The sequence below is a fragment of the Homo sapiens genome, chromosome 5 (assembly GCF_000001405.40).
Source record: "Homo sapiens chromosome 5, GRCh38.p14 Primary Assembly".
In the NCBI taxonomy this organism is placed as follows: Eukaryota; Metazoa; Chordata; class Mammalia; order Primates; family Hominidae; genus Homo; species Homo sapiens.
The window spans coordinates 146,476,951-146,493,620 of NC_000005.10; the positions used below are offsets into that span (position 1 = coordinate 146,476,951).

The window sequence follows — 16,670 nt, forward strand, 5'->3', positions numbered from 1 at the left end:
GGAGGGTCTCACTTTGTTTCCCAGGCAGGTTTCAAACTGCTGGCTTCGAGTGATCCTCGCACCTCAGCATCTCAAAGTGCAGGTGTGAGAAGTACGGGCGTGAGCCACCATGCCCAGCTGATCCATCTTCTAATTCACTGATTGTTTCCTGGCGTCTCCATTCTGTCTTGAGCCAATCCAGTGAAATTTAATTTCAGTTATTTTTAATTTCTAAATTTTCCTTTTGGTTTTTTTTTTGTAGTTTATATTTCATTACTGAACTCTTTTCATTTATTTTAAGTGTGTTTTTCTTTATCTCAGGGAGGTATAGTTATTGTTGCTTCAAAGTTTTTTACTATCTTAACATAGGAGGCTTAGTCTGATCATTTCAACTTGTAAGTTACCTTGGACTTGACAACTGTTGATTAATTTGATGATCAGGTCATATAGACTTAGTTTCTGTTGGGGTTTTAGCTGCCATGCTACTGCAACCATGCCACTCTGCAACCAGAGATCACCCTCAGGGCAGAGCTACGAGGTGGGTGAAATGGGAGATTTACTCCCTTGCAGTTGTTTCTCTAAATTTTGGCTGTCCTCCGTATTGCTTTCTGTTTATTCATTAAGACTATACTATACAGAGTCTGAATGTAGTTGTGGTTTTTTTTTTCCTTTGAGTTTTCTAACTGTAATTAACAGGACCAATGGCTTGTAGTGCTTGTAGTGGGCTGCAGTGTATGATGCCCTAGTGCAATTGGTACTTTACTTTTTTTTTTTTTTTTTTTTTTTGAGACTGGGTCTCACTTTATTGCTCAGGCTGGAGTGCAGTGGTGCGATCACAACTTACTGCAGCCTTGACCTCCCGGGCTCAGGTGATCCTCCCACCTCAGCCCTGAGTAGCTGGGTCTACAAGCTCGTGCAATCACATCCAGCTAATTTTTTTAATTAATATTTTTTGTAGAGATGGCCTTTCACCATGTTGCCCAGGCTGGTCTCAAACTCCTGAGCTCAAGTGATCCTCCTGCTTTGGCCTCCCAAAGTGTTAGAATTACAGGCCTGAGCCACCGTGCTGGGCCTTCCCTTTACTTTTTATTTTAGATATAATTAGATCTTAAAGTCTTCATAGAAGGTTGCATTTCAGTATGTAGTTTTGGTTTGTTAAGAAATATTAAGAACTATAGTAGCTAGGATGCTATGTCTGTTCTTTAGCTTTAGAACTGCTTAATAGCATTATTGTTGCCATTAAACTCATTCTTTCTGATAGTTTAAAATTTAGTACTCTCAAATTGAGTGTGCCAAACCAAATTCCTAAGCATTTTAATCTCTGATCACAAATTGCTTTGCATTTCTTGGTTTTCTCAGTTAATATGTTGATCTGTTATTTTTGCTTGAGTCATTCAGTTATCTTGTAAAAACCATGTTTGGTTCTCTGTAAATAACTATTGGTAATAAGAACATGTCGTTCTTCAGTACCCTCATCTCCCTACTTGTAACAGGCTGAAAGAAGTCCTAGCTGTAAAATATGTTCTGTAACATAAGAGAATGATATTTTGCATCAATTCTTAGGTGTGTCGTTTGGACTGGTGATGAGCGGGTCTTCTTTTATAATCCCACCACTCGTCTTTCTATGTGGGACCGACCTGATGATCTGATTGGCAGGGCAGATGTTGACAAAATTATTCAGGAGCCCCCTCATAAAAAAGGAATGGAGGAATTGAAGAAACTAAGTAAGTTTTAAATTAGGAATTTATCCACTGATTTTAACATTCTTTTCATATTTTGATAGAAAATGTGGAAGGCATTTAGAAACCCTTTATTTTTCAAAGAATATAAGAAGCATTCGAAAAAAATAGACTGCTATCCTAGTTTGAATGAAATAATAGAGATTAAAAATATGGAGAGAATTTGGATAAGATTGTGCTTTGTAAAATATGTGTGTCTTTAATTTATTGTCCTACTCAAGATTTTCAGTTAGTCCAAGATATGGTTGGTAGTGTTGCTGCTTGCTTAGTGCTTATCAATACTACTAAAATGCTCCTCGGTGGGCCTTTTAGCACCTTTTGTGACTAGTAATATATTTCTTGAAATAATACATTACAAATTTTTTAAAAATACAAAATCTCAATCTTTTGAATTAGATGGTAAGCTCCTTATATTCCTGAGACTAGACACCTAAACCTTACTAAGAGATTATCTTTTAATCTATCTCATATTCAGAGGGCATACTAATATATTGAGTACAGATATTTGTACGTAATTTTTGTTGTGTATTTCTTATTGGTAATTTGCCCTTGTGTTGATATGATTGTGTTTTTATAGAACTGTGGCCCGCAAGTGGTATAGAAGCAAGATAAATGAATTATTTAATGCTTCTAATGAAATAAATCCTAGTGTGTATCATTTATAGTCATTGAGACATTTTCATGCATTATATATATGCTGAATTATAAGTAATTTCTGAGTCAGTGCCGCTTTGCCTATCTAGTGCTGAAGGTACTAGGCTCACCTTCAGCAATACTTGTTTTATAGGTATGATAATAATACTTTATAACTATGGTATTGAATGATGTTGAAACAATATGTGATTTTCTTTTGTTTTTCGTGAATTTGTTTTTAAATATTTGATTCATTCATTTGATAAATACATTAACGTGCATTGTTAAAAGGTACTGTAAATCCTGAATCAAGAAAGCTTTATTTTATATATTTGTAAATTTAAGGTTTGGGCAAGAAACATTTCAAAATGAATTAAATTTAATGTAAAGGGAGGATAAATAGAGGAAGTGTAGAATTATGCTTTGTTTAATGTTTTATAAAGGGATGAATATTAAGAGGTGAATATATTATGTAAACAGTAATTTTTAAAAAGAAAAGTTTGTGAAATATATGCAAATGACTTTGTAACAATATTTGAAATGTTTTTGCCAGGGCACCCAACTCCGACAATGCTGTCGATCCAAAAGTGGCAATTCTCTATGAGTGCAAGTGAGTGAACTAACCATAAATTGCAGCTTCTTTTTAATACTATTAAAGCAAGTGTTCTGGTAGTGATTAGCAGAAGGATTCATTCCTAAATATTTTAATTAAATTTTGTCTTATAGTTAAAGAGGAACAAGAATTAATGGAAGAAATTAATGAAGATGAGCCTGTTAAAGCAAAAAAACGGAAGTAAGTAATACATACGATTTGATTGAGGTAGATTATATCTTTTAAAAGTCGATTTGGTAATAATTTGTGATTGGAAGGGACAGGTAATGTGAATGTTGTTAGGAGGCATGATTGCTCTCTTAGGCCTGATAATAAATAGCTTTGTTTTTCATTGTAGAAAATGTGTCCCTTCTTTTGCTAGATTTGTAGAAGATTTGGGTATTCATATATGTATTATGACTCCAAATGATAGTTTTGGAATTAATTCTTTTTGGAAATTTATTAGGTCTCAATTTTATGAAAAGTTAGTTTCCTCCCTCATTTAGACCCCAATGGATACCATTCCAGAGATCTCATAAAAACAGACACAGACTTCTCCCTCTTTATATGGTTATCTTACGACTTACCTAGTCCTTGAGTCTGGTCATTAACTCCTTGGTGAGGAGAGAACCCATAAGCTTAGGAAGTGCTCTGCGAGAAAGAGACTGCTAAGAAGTAGAGGCATTAGCTTGGCCAGTGCTCTAGAGTTGGGTAAAATGTAAATGTTATGGCGGGGGGAAGGATGGGGTAGAGGGTATGCATGTATGGGGAATGGGACCATTATTTAGCAGCAAAAAGGAAAGTTTGAAGACATTAACAGGAACTGGTTAATTGTAGTCCTTATCTGAAAAGGACAGATTGAATGCAGCCAAATTATGGCAAAGAAATCAGTAGGACAACCCCTATAAAGGGTAGTTCTTTTAAAAAAAATTTCTTTATTGGCAACAACATAAAAGATATGAAAGAATCACTCATAATTTATCAGCGTAACATAGCTATTCTCATTTTTGCAATTGACTTTTTAGTTCTTGACCAAATGTAATTTTTATTAGTTGTGATTAACTGATTTTGTGCTTTTTTTTTAAAAAAAAAAAACCTAGAATAAGACATTTGTTTTGTTAATTATTATAAATGACTGTATTCATTCTGTTTATGTACCATAATTTTGGATGTTCCTACGATGTTAAACTTTTAGGTTGTTTTTAATTGTTTGTTCTTATAGACAACTCTGTAAGGTTTTTAACTGCTTTTATCAGGAGAATGTCAAAGAAGTCCTTTATGTGGATTGCCCGAGCTTCTCTATTTAGGTACAAAGCTAAAAGCCTGTTTTTCCTGGCTTAGTTTTTCTTTTATTTCCTTTATTGAGATAGATAGTGATAGTTTGTATTGTGACATTTTCATTTAGTATAGTTCTATAAAGGTTATTTGTTTTTATTAGTTACTTCTTGGATGTCTTTTAACTCTAACTATTTAAATAGTTTTAAAATTATTATTATAAGAGGGTATATTGTTTGGCAAATTGCTTTTACCTGTTTGTTTTGTGCATATCTTAGGTCACAGACTATCTCGCTAAGTTCCTGCAGGTCACGGACTATGTCTTCTATTTCTTTTGATTCATTGCCTAAGTTGCTAAGTACCTCTCACTTGCATTTGTGGGTTAGCCTTAGTTCCATTTAAATCTCTGGGGCTACCTACAGTTTCCTGTATAGCATGCTTTTGAATTTCCACATGTTCTGTTTTCCTAATTCCCTTAAGTTTGTATAGGGAATAAGAGCCAATTTTTAAAATATACTTAGCAGATCATATTTAAGAAGGAAGATCTGCTAAAATACACCCAGATATTATTGAATTACATACTTTTTTGGATTATTTACGTGAATGGGCCTTTTTCATAGTGCATATATTTGAGAGGTGCCGTGATTCCATGTTTACAATTTCACTTGAGTACCACACAGAAACAGGGTTGCCCTTACACCTGAGGTGCATTTTTGGAGGAACAAGAAGTAGTTTAGTCATTGATGAACAGTTCTAATTCCACCTAACTACTCCTGGGCCCATGTTGCTCTCTGGGACCTGTCCTTCAACTTAAATCTCAACTTATCACCCAGAAAGTGAGTAATAAAAAGTCAGGTAGGTAAGGTATATATCTTACATATTCACTTGGCCAAGATTGCAGATATTTTAGTTTTATTTTTAAAATGAATGTTTGAGATTACTAAAACATTATACCACTTAATACCAATTTTTATTAGATTTTACAAAATATTTTATGTGTTTATAATGTAAAACATTTTGGAAAATACTGTTTTTTCTATATTTCAAGAACTAAAAAAATTATATTTTGTGCTGTTTGATTCTGACACATAGAGGTTTACTGCAGTGTTAAACTTTTTTTTTTTTAAGTAAGGTTGCTCCCTTTTTATGTTATTAACCAGTGTCAGGGAGAGACAGCCCATTAAAGGTGTATTTTTTTCCTAATAATGTAGCCATTGTAAATCATTAGAAGCCCATTTTAATTTTGTTATTATGAAAGTTATTTATCCCTTAGAGTTCATTTGAAACCCTCAATATAATTTGTTTTTGCCAAAAATATGCTGCTCAGTAGTGAGTCTTGAAAATTCCTTTGATTTTAAGATTTCTAATAAGATCTGAGAATTAATATTTTGTCAGTTGATGTCTTATATTTTATTTTTTATAGGAGAGACGATAATAAAGACATTGACTCAGAGAAAGAAGCTGCCATGGAAGCTGAAATTAAAGCTGCCCGAGAAAGGGCCATTGTCCCTCTGGAGGCTCGAATGAAGCAGTTCAAGGACATGCTGCTAGAGAGAGGGGTCAGAAAACAATCTTTGGGGGAGATATTTCTGTTTTGTATAAGTAATATAAATATGTCTTGCTAAAAGGTCAAATCTAAGGTTAGTGCTCATGTTATGGGGGGGGATAAGGGGATTTTTAAAATTACTGTACATTTTTTGCAACAGCCTTTTTCTTGGCTAATCTTATCATATTTAACTAAATGCCATTTTACTGTCCTTTTAAGTACAAATAACACTTAACATTTATTGGGTCATTAAATTGTGGTGAGTAATATAAGACGAGTATTAACATTACAGAATGGCGGACTGCTTGGGATAGGTAAGGTATATATGATTATTCTTCCTTTAATATCTTGAGAATGGCTTTTGTTAAAGGAGAACTGATACTTTGTGATATTATTATTTGCAATTTAATTGAGAAGGGATTTCAACTATTTGGTTATATTCACAGATTCATTTGAATAAGTAAAATTGTTCAATTTTAAATCACAACATTGTTCACAAGATTGGAGCAAGCATGAGAAATCAAAATATAAATCTTCAAGGCTTTTTCTGATGTACTGATTTTTAAAATGTCACACAGTAGTAGTTATTTTAATGAGTAATTAAGTGTCTGTTATTTCTATATAATATAGGAATGTTCAGAGCCAATTAGTGTGGAAATTTGCTATTGCTAGCCTCCCACTGCTTGTCATTTATTAGTGATGGAAACTTCAGTATGGTTTTATGTCTCCTTTATAAACAGATATCCTGTAGATTTCAAGCAAAATTATGACCTTTATATTTTTAGAGGAGACTTAATTATGAGGCAATACGTTTTTATTTTAAAGGTGTCTGCTTTTTCAACGTGGGAGAAGGAGTTGCACAAGATAGTTTTTGATCCCCGGTACTTACTTCTCAATCCTAAAGAGAGAAAACAGGTAAAAGGAAAATGGCATTAACTAAGAATGTATATCTCTTGCCAACATAGTTTTTAAATTATAAGGAATAAAGTACCATCCCTTTTTTTTCTGATACAGCATTTCAAAAATATAGTCTTGCATCTTAGAACATATTATGTGTCTGTGTGTGGACATTTCTACTTCAAAATTCTTGGATATTTTTGCCCTTATGAGCATGGCTGTTGTCTTGTAAACATTTTGTCCTTATGCCTCATATACCTAGGTTATGTGTAGTATGGTTTTAAAATTGATTTCAAATGCATTTACTAATTTGCTTGTTTGGGCCAATGATGCAAATTTAGAGTAGAAAAATAGCAAAATACAGATGAGTAAAAAGGATAAAAAAGCTACTGTAATCCCAACTAATAGATATGACTACCGTTGAACACTGGTTTATTATTGAATACTGAACAGCCTTCTTGACCATTATGTGTCAGTATGTACATATATATGTGTGTGTGTGTCCTGTAGATAGTACTTGAACATAGGTTTATGTCTTATACACAACTGCATATACAAAGTTCACATCTAAGTAGCATCTGTTAAAATATCTGTTTCCATCATAAACTCAGAAAAACAGTGGATACTTAAGGGTCCCTGTTGAATTAGTGTTGCTTTTTATTCCCATGATGATTCAGTGACACATATCATTTCGTGATTGCCTCTTCTAAAGCATTGCACACTTCCAACTTACTTAATTTCTGAATTACCTGAACTATCCTGACACTGATCTCCATAAAATGGTGAGTATGTGGAACCACTTGCTATAGTGCTGTTAAGCTGTAAGATTTCATTTGGTAACAGTAGTGCCCATCTTTGATATTTTTAATGTAACAATTGAAATAATTCTTCACATGGTGTGTACCATTATGCATGTAGGTCTAATCATGGACTTGAATGAAGGGAGAAAATTTACAATGTGCCAGATATGTATTTTAGTACTTGGAATAGAAAGACATAACTTCCTTAATGTATTTGCATCTTCATTTTAAGCTTTGTATCTTTTTTAAAAAACAAACTCTGTGTGAGTTTTTTATTCTCATTTCAGTTTATGGCTCTATCAAAATTTATAAATTAGCCTTGATTCCTTACTTTTCCCACTTCCCCTTTACAGTCTTATCAGCAAATCTATAATCTACCTTCAAAAAATTTTCAAAATCTCACCTTTTATTAATCATTTCCCCCATTAACACCCTAATCCAAGCCACCATAAACAACCCTTATCATCTGTGTAGCCTATTGTTGATCTCCTTCATTCCATCTGTTCTTGTTCCTCTTTAGTCAAGTTCTTTTTCCACACAGCAGCCAGGCTAATTTTAAAGTTTAAGTGATACTAAATTAAGTCACTGTTCCCTTGCTTAAAACTGTTTAGTGCTTTCCATTTCATTGAGAATAAAATTGAAGCTCTTTTCATGGTCTCTAATATTCTACATAGACTTACCCCTGTATACCTCTTGATGGTCTTTTTTAATGTCTGTTGATTACAGCCACACTGGCCCTGATATTACTTGAACAAGCCAGTCATTCTGGTGTTTGCTATTCCTTCTGCCTGGACTGTTTTTCCTCCAGGTGTTAGTACAGCCAGCTTCATTTCATTAAGGTACTTGTCCCAGTGCCTTCTAATCAATCTAAGTATTGTCTCTTTGCCTTTTCTAATTTCTTTATGGTGCTCATGGCTCTAATTGTATAAAATTATGTTTTTATTATTTGTCTCCTCCTCCTGCAAAATATAAATTGTATGAGGCTAGAAACTTTGTCTTCATTGCTTTATTTGTAGTGCCTGGAACATTGCCTAATCTAAATATCTCTGAAGGCTTTAAAACTTTTATGACGTATTCCTCCTGGTACTGAGTGTTATAGTGAAATTAGAAGTAACATATTGAGAACTATAGTTCTTTCCCAATTTTTGAAGCATTCTATAAGCTGATGGTGGTATCTCCTTAATAGAATTACGTTTGAAAAGAGAAAATATTATTCTAGTGTTCTGTTTTCAATAAAATCTCTAGTTAAAAGTTCTCATGCCATTTATTTATTTATTTATTTTATGCATCTATTTATTTAGAGATGGAGTCTTGCTCTGTTGCCCAGACTGGAGTGCAGTGGCGCCATCTCATCTTACTGCAGCCTCTGCCTCTCAGGGTTCAAGTGATCCTCCCACCTTAGCCTCCCAAGTAGCTGGGATTACAAGCGTGCACCACCATGCCCGGCTAATTTTTCTATCTTTAGTAGAGACAGAGTTTCACCATGCTGGCCAGGCTGGTCTTGAACACCGGACCTCAAGTAATCCGCCTGCCTTGGCCTCACAAAGTGTTGGGATTACAGGCGTGAGCCACCACGCCTGGCCTTTCATGGCTTTTAAATAGAATTCTTCTCTCAACAATCAGAATGTAAGAACTGAGAAGAAGTAGTAGTTAACATTTGGCATTTAAAAATAAACACGTTTTTTGAATACTTGGTTTTATTATTTGCATAGGAGTATAAAATGAACAACCAGAAAGGTGCTAGGTTGCACATTACACATTTGCACTTTGTAATTTCATATTTGCAGTTTGTGCTTTGATTTAGAAAACACTAATAACTTCATTGGAAATGCCTTGTAATACAAAATTATATTTCAGTTGTCCTTTTCTAGTTATTTGTAGATTCGTGTACATTCTGTATCATTATAAAAGATGTATTTTATATAATTGTAACCATAAATTTTAACTTAGAATTTTCTTTTGATAAAGTTTACTTAAGGGGTCTGAAATGTTTTTGTTTTATTTGTTATGACAAATTTTAATTGAATAACATTTTCCATAAAAACTAGACCATTTGCATAAAGGATGCTACTAGGTTCTGACATAGATAGTCGTTATGCTATTAACACTTTAAAATAAGTTCTCTCTTATCTTATTTCAAAATAAACATTTTAAAAGCTTTTCCTCTAAGAACTGGAAGAAGACAAGGATACCCACTTTCACCACTCTTAGTCAACATAGTGCTGGAAGTCTTAGCCAGAGCAATTAGGCAAGAGAAAGAAATAGAGGGTATCCAGATTGGAAAGGAAGAAGTCAACTTGTTTCTTTTTGCAGATGACAGGATCTTACATATGGAAAAACCTAAAGATGCTACTAAAAATCTCTTAGAACTGATAAATTCAGGGTGGGCGTGGTGGCTCATGCCTGTAATCCCAGCACTTTATGAGGCCAAGGCAGGCGGATCACATGAGGTCAGGAGTTCGAGACCAGCCTGGCCAACATGGCGAAACCTCATCTCTACTAAAAATATCTCTACTAAAAATACAAAAATTAGCCAGGGGTGGTGGTGCATGCCTTTCATCCCAGCTAGTTAGGTGGCTGAGGCACAAGAATTGCTTGAATCCAGGAAGTGGAGGTTGCAGTGAACCGAGATTGTGCCATCGCACTCCACCCTGGGTGACAGCAAGACTCTGTCTCAAAAAAAAAGAACTGCTAAACTGATTCAGGAAAATTACAGGATATTAAATATCCAAAACAATAGTGTTTCTGTACACAGTGAACTAGCTGAAAAAGAAATCAAGAAAGCAATCCCATTTACAATAGTGCCAAATAAATAAGATAACTAAGAATTAAATTTAACCAAACAAGTGAAAGACCCCCATAAGGAAGATTATAAGATACTGATGAAAGAAACTGAACAGGATACAAAGGGAAAGACATCCCAAGCTCATGGATCAGAATAATTAATATTGTTAAAGTGGCAGTACTCTCCAAAGCAATCTACAGATTCAGTGCAATCTGTATCAAAATACGAGTGACATTCAAAACAGAATGTCACTGGAAGAAAAAAATCTGGATAGGCAAGGTGGCTCACGCCTGTAATCCCACCACTTTAGAAAACCAAGGCAGGAGATCACTTGAGGCCAGGAGTTTGAGACTGTCATAGTGAGATCTCTCTACAAAAAAATGCAAGAACTAGCCAGGTGTGGTGTCGTGCACCTATAGTCCAAGCTACTTGGGAGACTAAGGTGTGGGGATCACTTGATCCAGGAGTTTGAGGTTACAGTGAGCTATGACCGCTACTGCACTCCAGCCCAGGCAACAGAACAAGACCCTGTTTCAAAAAAAAAAAAAAAAAATCCTAAAATTTTTGTGAAACCAAAAAAGACTTAAAATAGCCAAAGCAATCCTAAGCAAAAAGAACAAAGCTGGACGTATCGTAGTACCAGACTTCAAAATATGCTAGAGAGCTGTAGTAACTAAAACAGTACGGTACTGGCATAAAAACAGACACATAGACCAAAGGAACAGAATAGGGAACTCAGAAATTAATCCATATATCTATAGGCAACTTATTTTGACAAAGGTGCCAAGAACACTCACTGTGGCAAGAACAGTCTCTTCAATAAATGATGCTGGGAAAACTGGAAATCTATATGCAGAAGAAATGAAATTAGAACCCCACCTCTTAGCCTATCTGAAAATCAACTCAAAATAGATCAAAGACCTACATATATGACCTGAAATGATAAAACTACTAGAAAAAAACCATAGAGGAAATAATTCCAGACATTGACTGGGAAAAGATTTTACAAATAAGACCTCAAAAGCACAAGCAAGAATAAACAAATGGGGTTACATCAAATTAAAACAGTTCTCCATAGCAAGGGAAACAACAGTGAAGACATCCTACAGAATGGGAGAAAATATTTGCTAACTACTTATTTGATAGGGAATTAAATGTCCAAAATGTACAAGGAACTCAGTCATCCCAACAGAAAAAAACAGATCTTACTAACAAATGGGCAGATGATCTGAACAGACATTTCTCAAAACATACAAATGGCCAATAAATATATGAAAAAATGCTCAACATCACTAATCATTGGGGAAATGCAAATCAAAACAGCAGTGAGGTGTCTCACTCAGTTAGGATGACTTACATAAAAGAGGAAGAAATAACGAATACTGGCAAGGATACTCAGAAAAGGGAACTCTTTATATACTGTTGGTTAGAATTTAAACTAGTATATCCACTATGGAAAACAGTATGGAGGTTCCTCGAAAAACTAAAAACAGAACAACGATATGATCCAGCAATCCCCCTATCAGGTATGTATTGAAAGGAAAAGACATCATTATATTGAAGAGATATCTGTACCCTAATGTTTACTGTAGCACTGTTCACAGTAACCAAGATACAGAATCAACCTAGGTGTCCAACAACAGATGACTGGATAAAGAAAATGTGGTTAGCCATAAAAAAGAATGAAATCCTGTCATTTGCAGCAACATCGATGGAACTGGAAGTCATGTTAAGTGAAATAAGCCAAGAACAGAAAGATAAACATCTTATGTTTTCACACATGTGGAAGCAAAAGAAAGTTGATGTCATAGAAGTCAAAAGTAGAACAGAGGCTACTGAAGGCTGAGAGGGGTAGGGAGAACTTGGGAGGATAGGAAGAGATTTGTTAAAGGATACATAATTAAAACTGGATAGGAAGATTAAGTCCTGGCGTTGTGTAGCCCTGTAGGATGACTGGTTAACAATAGTAAGTAGTTTCGAGTAGCCAGAAGGAGGATATTAAACGTTTTTCCAACACAAATGATAAATGTTTGAGATTGATATGCTAATTACCTTGATCTCATCACTACATGATATGTATTTAAACACATTTCGATTGCACATGTATTGAAACACAGTAACCCCATGAATATGTACAATTATTATTTGTCAATTAAAAAAATCCCTGCCCTTGAACTCTAAGAGAAAACACCAAAATAAACTTTTAAATATCTCATTTGTTATTCAGAGCTTTTTAATATTGACAGTATTACAGTATGGTAATATGTTACCAACATGATTACTCGGAATTGTCAACCATCTGGGCCACTGTTACTGAATAATTTGTCATTGAATCAGTGTGAAATTAAAAATATGAGAATCAAATAATGGAGACTTACTTTTAGTAAATGTATTTTGAAACAGAAAAGATAAAATCATAAGTGAAATTTCACAAAATGAATATATCATGATCCAAAAAATGGAACATTCCAAGCACTCCAGAGCTGCCTTGAAGGCTTAAAGGGTATAGCCCCTTAATATACATTTTTGTTCATGCCTATAAAAGTGAACTTAACAGAATTATTTTTAAAATTTACTCATTTTCATTGTATTATGAAATTTTGTTCATGAGTTGAAGTTATCAGAAAATAACCACTTAACATAGGGAACATAAAGCCAAGCGTATTGGAAAGCATGACACAAATTAGGAGCAACTTGGAAGCATAACACAACCCCTAATTTTCTATGAGATATTAATCTTAGAGAGTGATTCCTAACCTTGGTCTGGGGTAGCCCAGCAGAGGGAATACGAAGTTCTTTCTAGATTCTCAAAGGAAAGTTAATACAAATTCCCTTGAATTTTAGGTATCATTTAATATTTTATTTATAAGTAAGTATATACTGAGAAGGGAGTTGGAAACAACTTTCTCCCTCTCTTCAGCATGCAAATACTTTCAAAAGGTTTTCTGCAATGCTATACTTAGAGGAAATTGAAGATGACTTACATGTCTAGCAGGGGACTGGTCAGGTAATCACAGATATGGTAGTCCCTCCTTATCTGTGGAGGATATGTTCCAAGACACCCAGTGGATGAAGATTGGTAGACATATGTGGATTGACTTGGGAAGATGTCGAAGGTATTTTGGAACATTTTGTTGTACTTGTTATAAAGATGTTCATAGAGCTGTTCCCTACATAGTAAGTCTTTTCCTTTTTGTAGCTTCTTGAGAGAATGTGCAGGGAAAGTTTATTTGAGGCCTAACATACTTGGAAAAACCCTTATTGTACCCTTATTTGGAATTGTTTGGCTAGCTAAAGGCATTGCTCTGCTTCTAGTGTTCGTTGTTTTTGAAGCCATTCCTATTCCTTTATATGTGAATCTGTTTTTCTTTCTCTATAAGTATGTAGCTCTCTTAGTCCCTAGTATTCTGAAATGCCATAGTGGTATTTTTCCTAGAGGAAGGGTCTATTGTGCTCAGTACTTGGCTGACCTTTTCAGTGTGGAAACTCAGCTCTTTTAGTTACGGGAAATTCTCTTGTGTTACTTTAAAAAATTTGTTTCCAGTTTTCTCTGTTTTTTCATTCTGGGACAGAATTTGAATTTGCCTTCATGGATTGGTTCTTCAACTTTTTCTCTTTCCTGTTAATTACCTTTGTCTTTTTATTTAACTTTTTGGATAATTTCCTTGCCTTTATTAACCAACTATTTAGATTTTTAAAATTTATTGTGTCTTTTAATTCCTAAGAGTTCTTTTATGTTTTTTGAGGTTTTTCTTGCCTTATGGGTGCATTATCTTAGCTCTGTGAGGTTGTTTAGGAACATTTTTTTCTTTTATATTTTTATTTTTCTGTATAGTTTCTGATTCCACTAAGTTTGTTCTCTTTAGGGCTCTATTTTTCATGTTGGAGAGTTTCCTTAGATGTCTTGTAGACCCTGACTACTTAAGTGAAGCACTAAAATGCTGTTTGGGTACTCTTTTTTTTTTTTGCATGTAGAGATGGGATTTTGCCACGTTGCCCAGGCTGGTCTTGAACTCCTGAGCTCAAATGATCCTCCTGCCTTGCCCTCCCAGAGTGCTGGGATTACAGGTGTGAGCCACTGCCCGGCCTATTTGGGTATTCTTAGCATTTAGGTGGGCCCTCGTGCTTTGGGGCTGTACTGCAGAGTGGTGGTTCTCAACCACGAGTAGTTTTGCCCCCAGGAGACATTTTTGTCACCATTGAAGTGAGTGCTGCTGGGATCTAGTGGGTAGAGGCCAGGGATGCTGGTATACATCTTGCTCAAAACATCACTGTGCCAAGGTTGAGAAACATGCTGTAGGGTGAGTTAGGCTGGTTTGTTGAGAACCCCTGGAGCCAATGTTTTAGGCTGGTCAGATTCCCAATAAAGACTTCTAATCTGGCTGGAGGGCACAGATCTCTCTGCTTCGGATCTGAGAGAACTAACTGTGTCTTAGTATTTGGTATGTGTTTGGTTAATCTCCATGTTTTTAGTTTGGTTTGCCTTATTCCCAATTCAGATTCCCTTAGTTCAAAGACACTCTCTTTTACTTTCTAGAGCAGGCAGTCAGCAAATTTTTAAGAGTCAGATAATTTGTATTTTAGGCTTTGTGGGCCATATGGTCTCTATTGTAACTTTGCAACTGCTGTTTTAAGTGTCAAGTACCTGTAGACATACGTAAGGGTATAAGCATGGCTGTTCAGTTAAAGCTTTATTTATGGAAATACTGTCATTTGAATTTTATTTAGTTTTCATGTGTCATGAAACTTTGTTTTTCCCCTCAACCTTTAAAAAATGTAGAAACTATCCTTGAGCTGTATAAAAACAACCCGTAGGCCATAGTTTGCCAATTATTTGCTTTGGAATAGTCACTTGCCTTTTACATTCAGAAGTGGCAGTGCCCAGAAACATTAAGTTGGTGGGGGCATCTGGCAATTTAACAACTTATTAAATAGCTTTTCATCCTTAAAATACTACTTATTTTAGCTATGCCCCATCCTCACCTCCATAGGTATCTGATGCTGTCTATTCTTGAGTTGTTTGAGGAGATTCTGGTTTCAGAAAAAAAAACTTGAGTTGCCTCTTTGTTTTTCTTGACTGCTAGGTTATGTTGAGTGCTCTCATATCTGTCACATCCTTTTCCACTTGTCCCATCAGCTTTGCAAGTTGCTGGTTCTTTTTTTCTCAATCATTGTTGGGTTATGACTTAAAAAAGAAGTTCTTCTGTCATTTTGTAGGGTGTGAAGTAGGTGGTAAATAGATGATCAGTTCATTATCTTGACTGTATTATTAAGTGGGGGAAATATAGAATAGATGTAAAGCATGATTACATTTTAGTGAAAATACTTATGTCTTAAGAGAAGCACGGAAATAAAATATACTACAGATTCCATACCATTGATATTTCTTTCTAAAAGGGATTTGGGAAGACTGTGATTTCTCTTCCGCATTTCTAAATTTCTTGACATGTTTATAATAATCATGTATTTATAATCGGGAAAAAAATTAAAGAGGCTTTTTGCTGTTTTCTTTTGTTCTTGAAGCCTAAGTAGAGAGCTGTGTGCTTGTGTAATATCTCAGTGAAGCTTTAAAGTGAAACTTGGTATAGATTATCTGTGTATAATTATCTACAGTTAATATATTTTTCCTGGTATAGTTTGGACAAAGACATTGTCCAATAATTTGGTAGTTAAATTACCTATATGAAAGATTGACTTGTCAAATTTGTTGATTTTTATAATAGGTGTTTGATCAGTATGTAAAGACCAGGGCAGAGGAAGAACGCAGGGAAAAGAAAAATAAAATAATGCAAGCCAAGGAAGATTTCAAAAAAATGATGGAAGAAGCAAAATTTAATCCAAGGTATGTGGTTTGTTTCTCTTAAATATCAAAGTGTATTTATTTTCTCCTAAGATCAGTTTTTAAAAATTAAAAAAATAGATATTTTTTGACTATTTGGGCACTAAAAGCTCCTTATTTGATTATCGGTTTTTGCCAAAATTTCTAATCTTTATTTTTTACTATGTTTCCTTTAGAGGAATCCTAAGTGCTCTAAGAAGGGTACCTTTGATTTAAGTGCTTCCCTATGGGAATAAGTTCTTTAGAAACTAGTATATGATAGAAAATCTGTGCCTCATCTTTGTAAAGTTTTATACATAATGAGTTGCAGAGGAGGAACATTATTTTGATTAAATTGAAGTGGTGAAGGACCTTTTACCACTTCAATTTCAAAATTTTCTAAGTGTCTAGTTAATGGTCATGTCTGACATTTTGAATTGATTGGTAATATGTATTAAATACATGTAATGGGCTGAAGAAAATGAGACATTTTAAATTTATTTGCCTAGTTTTATAGTAATAACAGTTACTGGGTATTTTATGTGCTTATTTGCACTTTAAAACATATATGTATGCATTTATACATTTACATGTAAACATGACTGA

General features: G+C 34.5%; 1 protein-coding gene across 76 annotated transcripts in view; it reads left to right on the top strand.

The window, feature by feature from the left end:
• TCERG1 (transcription elongation regulator 1) overlaps positions 1–16,670 on the top strand; it is a 64,632-nt gene that overhangs the window by 29,621 nt on the left and 18,341 nt on the right. For 26 of the 76 annotated variants that reach the window (NR_174407.1, NR_174415.1, NR_174412.1 and 23 more), the window contains 6 exons: positions 1,543–1,703; positions 2,905–2,961; positions 3,078–3,144; positions 5,642–5,777; positions 6,590–6,679; positions 15,970–16,088. Coding sequence is in view for 23 of the 76 variants with exons in the window: in XM_017008979.3 (XP_016864468.1) it covers positions 1,543–1,703; positions 2,905–2,961; positions 3,078–3,144; positions 5,642–5,777; positions 6,590–6,679; positions 15,970–16,088 (630 nt within the window). In the remaining 53 variants the exon portion in view is untranslated. Of the gene's footprint in view, positions 1–1,542; positions 1,704–2,904; positions 2,962–3,077; positions 6,680–8,187; positions 8,301–8,762; positions 9,088–15,969; positions 16,089–16,670 lie in introns of those variants that run through there. The other 50 variants (XR_001741983.3, NR_174434.1, NR_174443.1 and 47 more) reach the window with 17 other exon arrangements.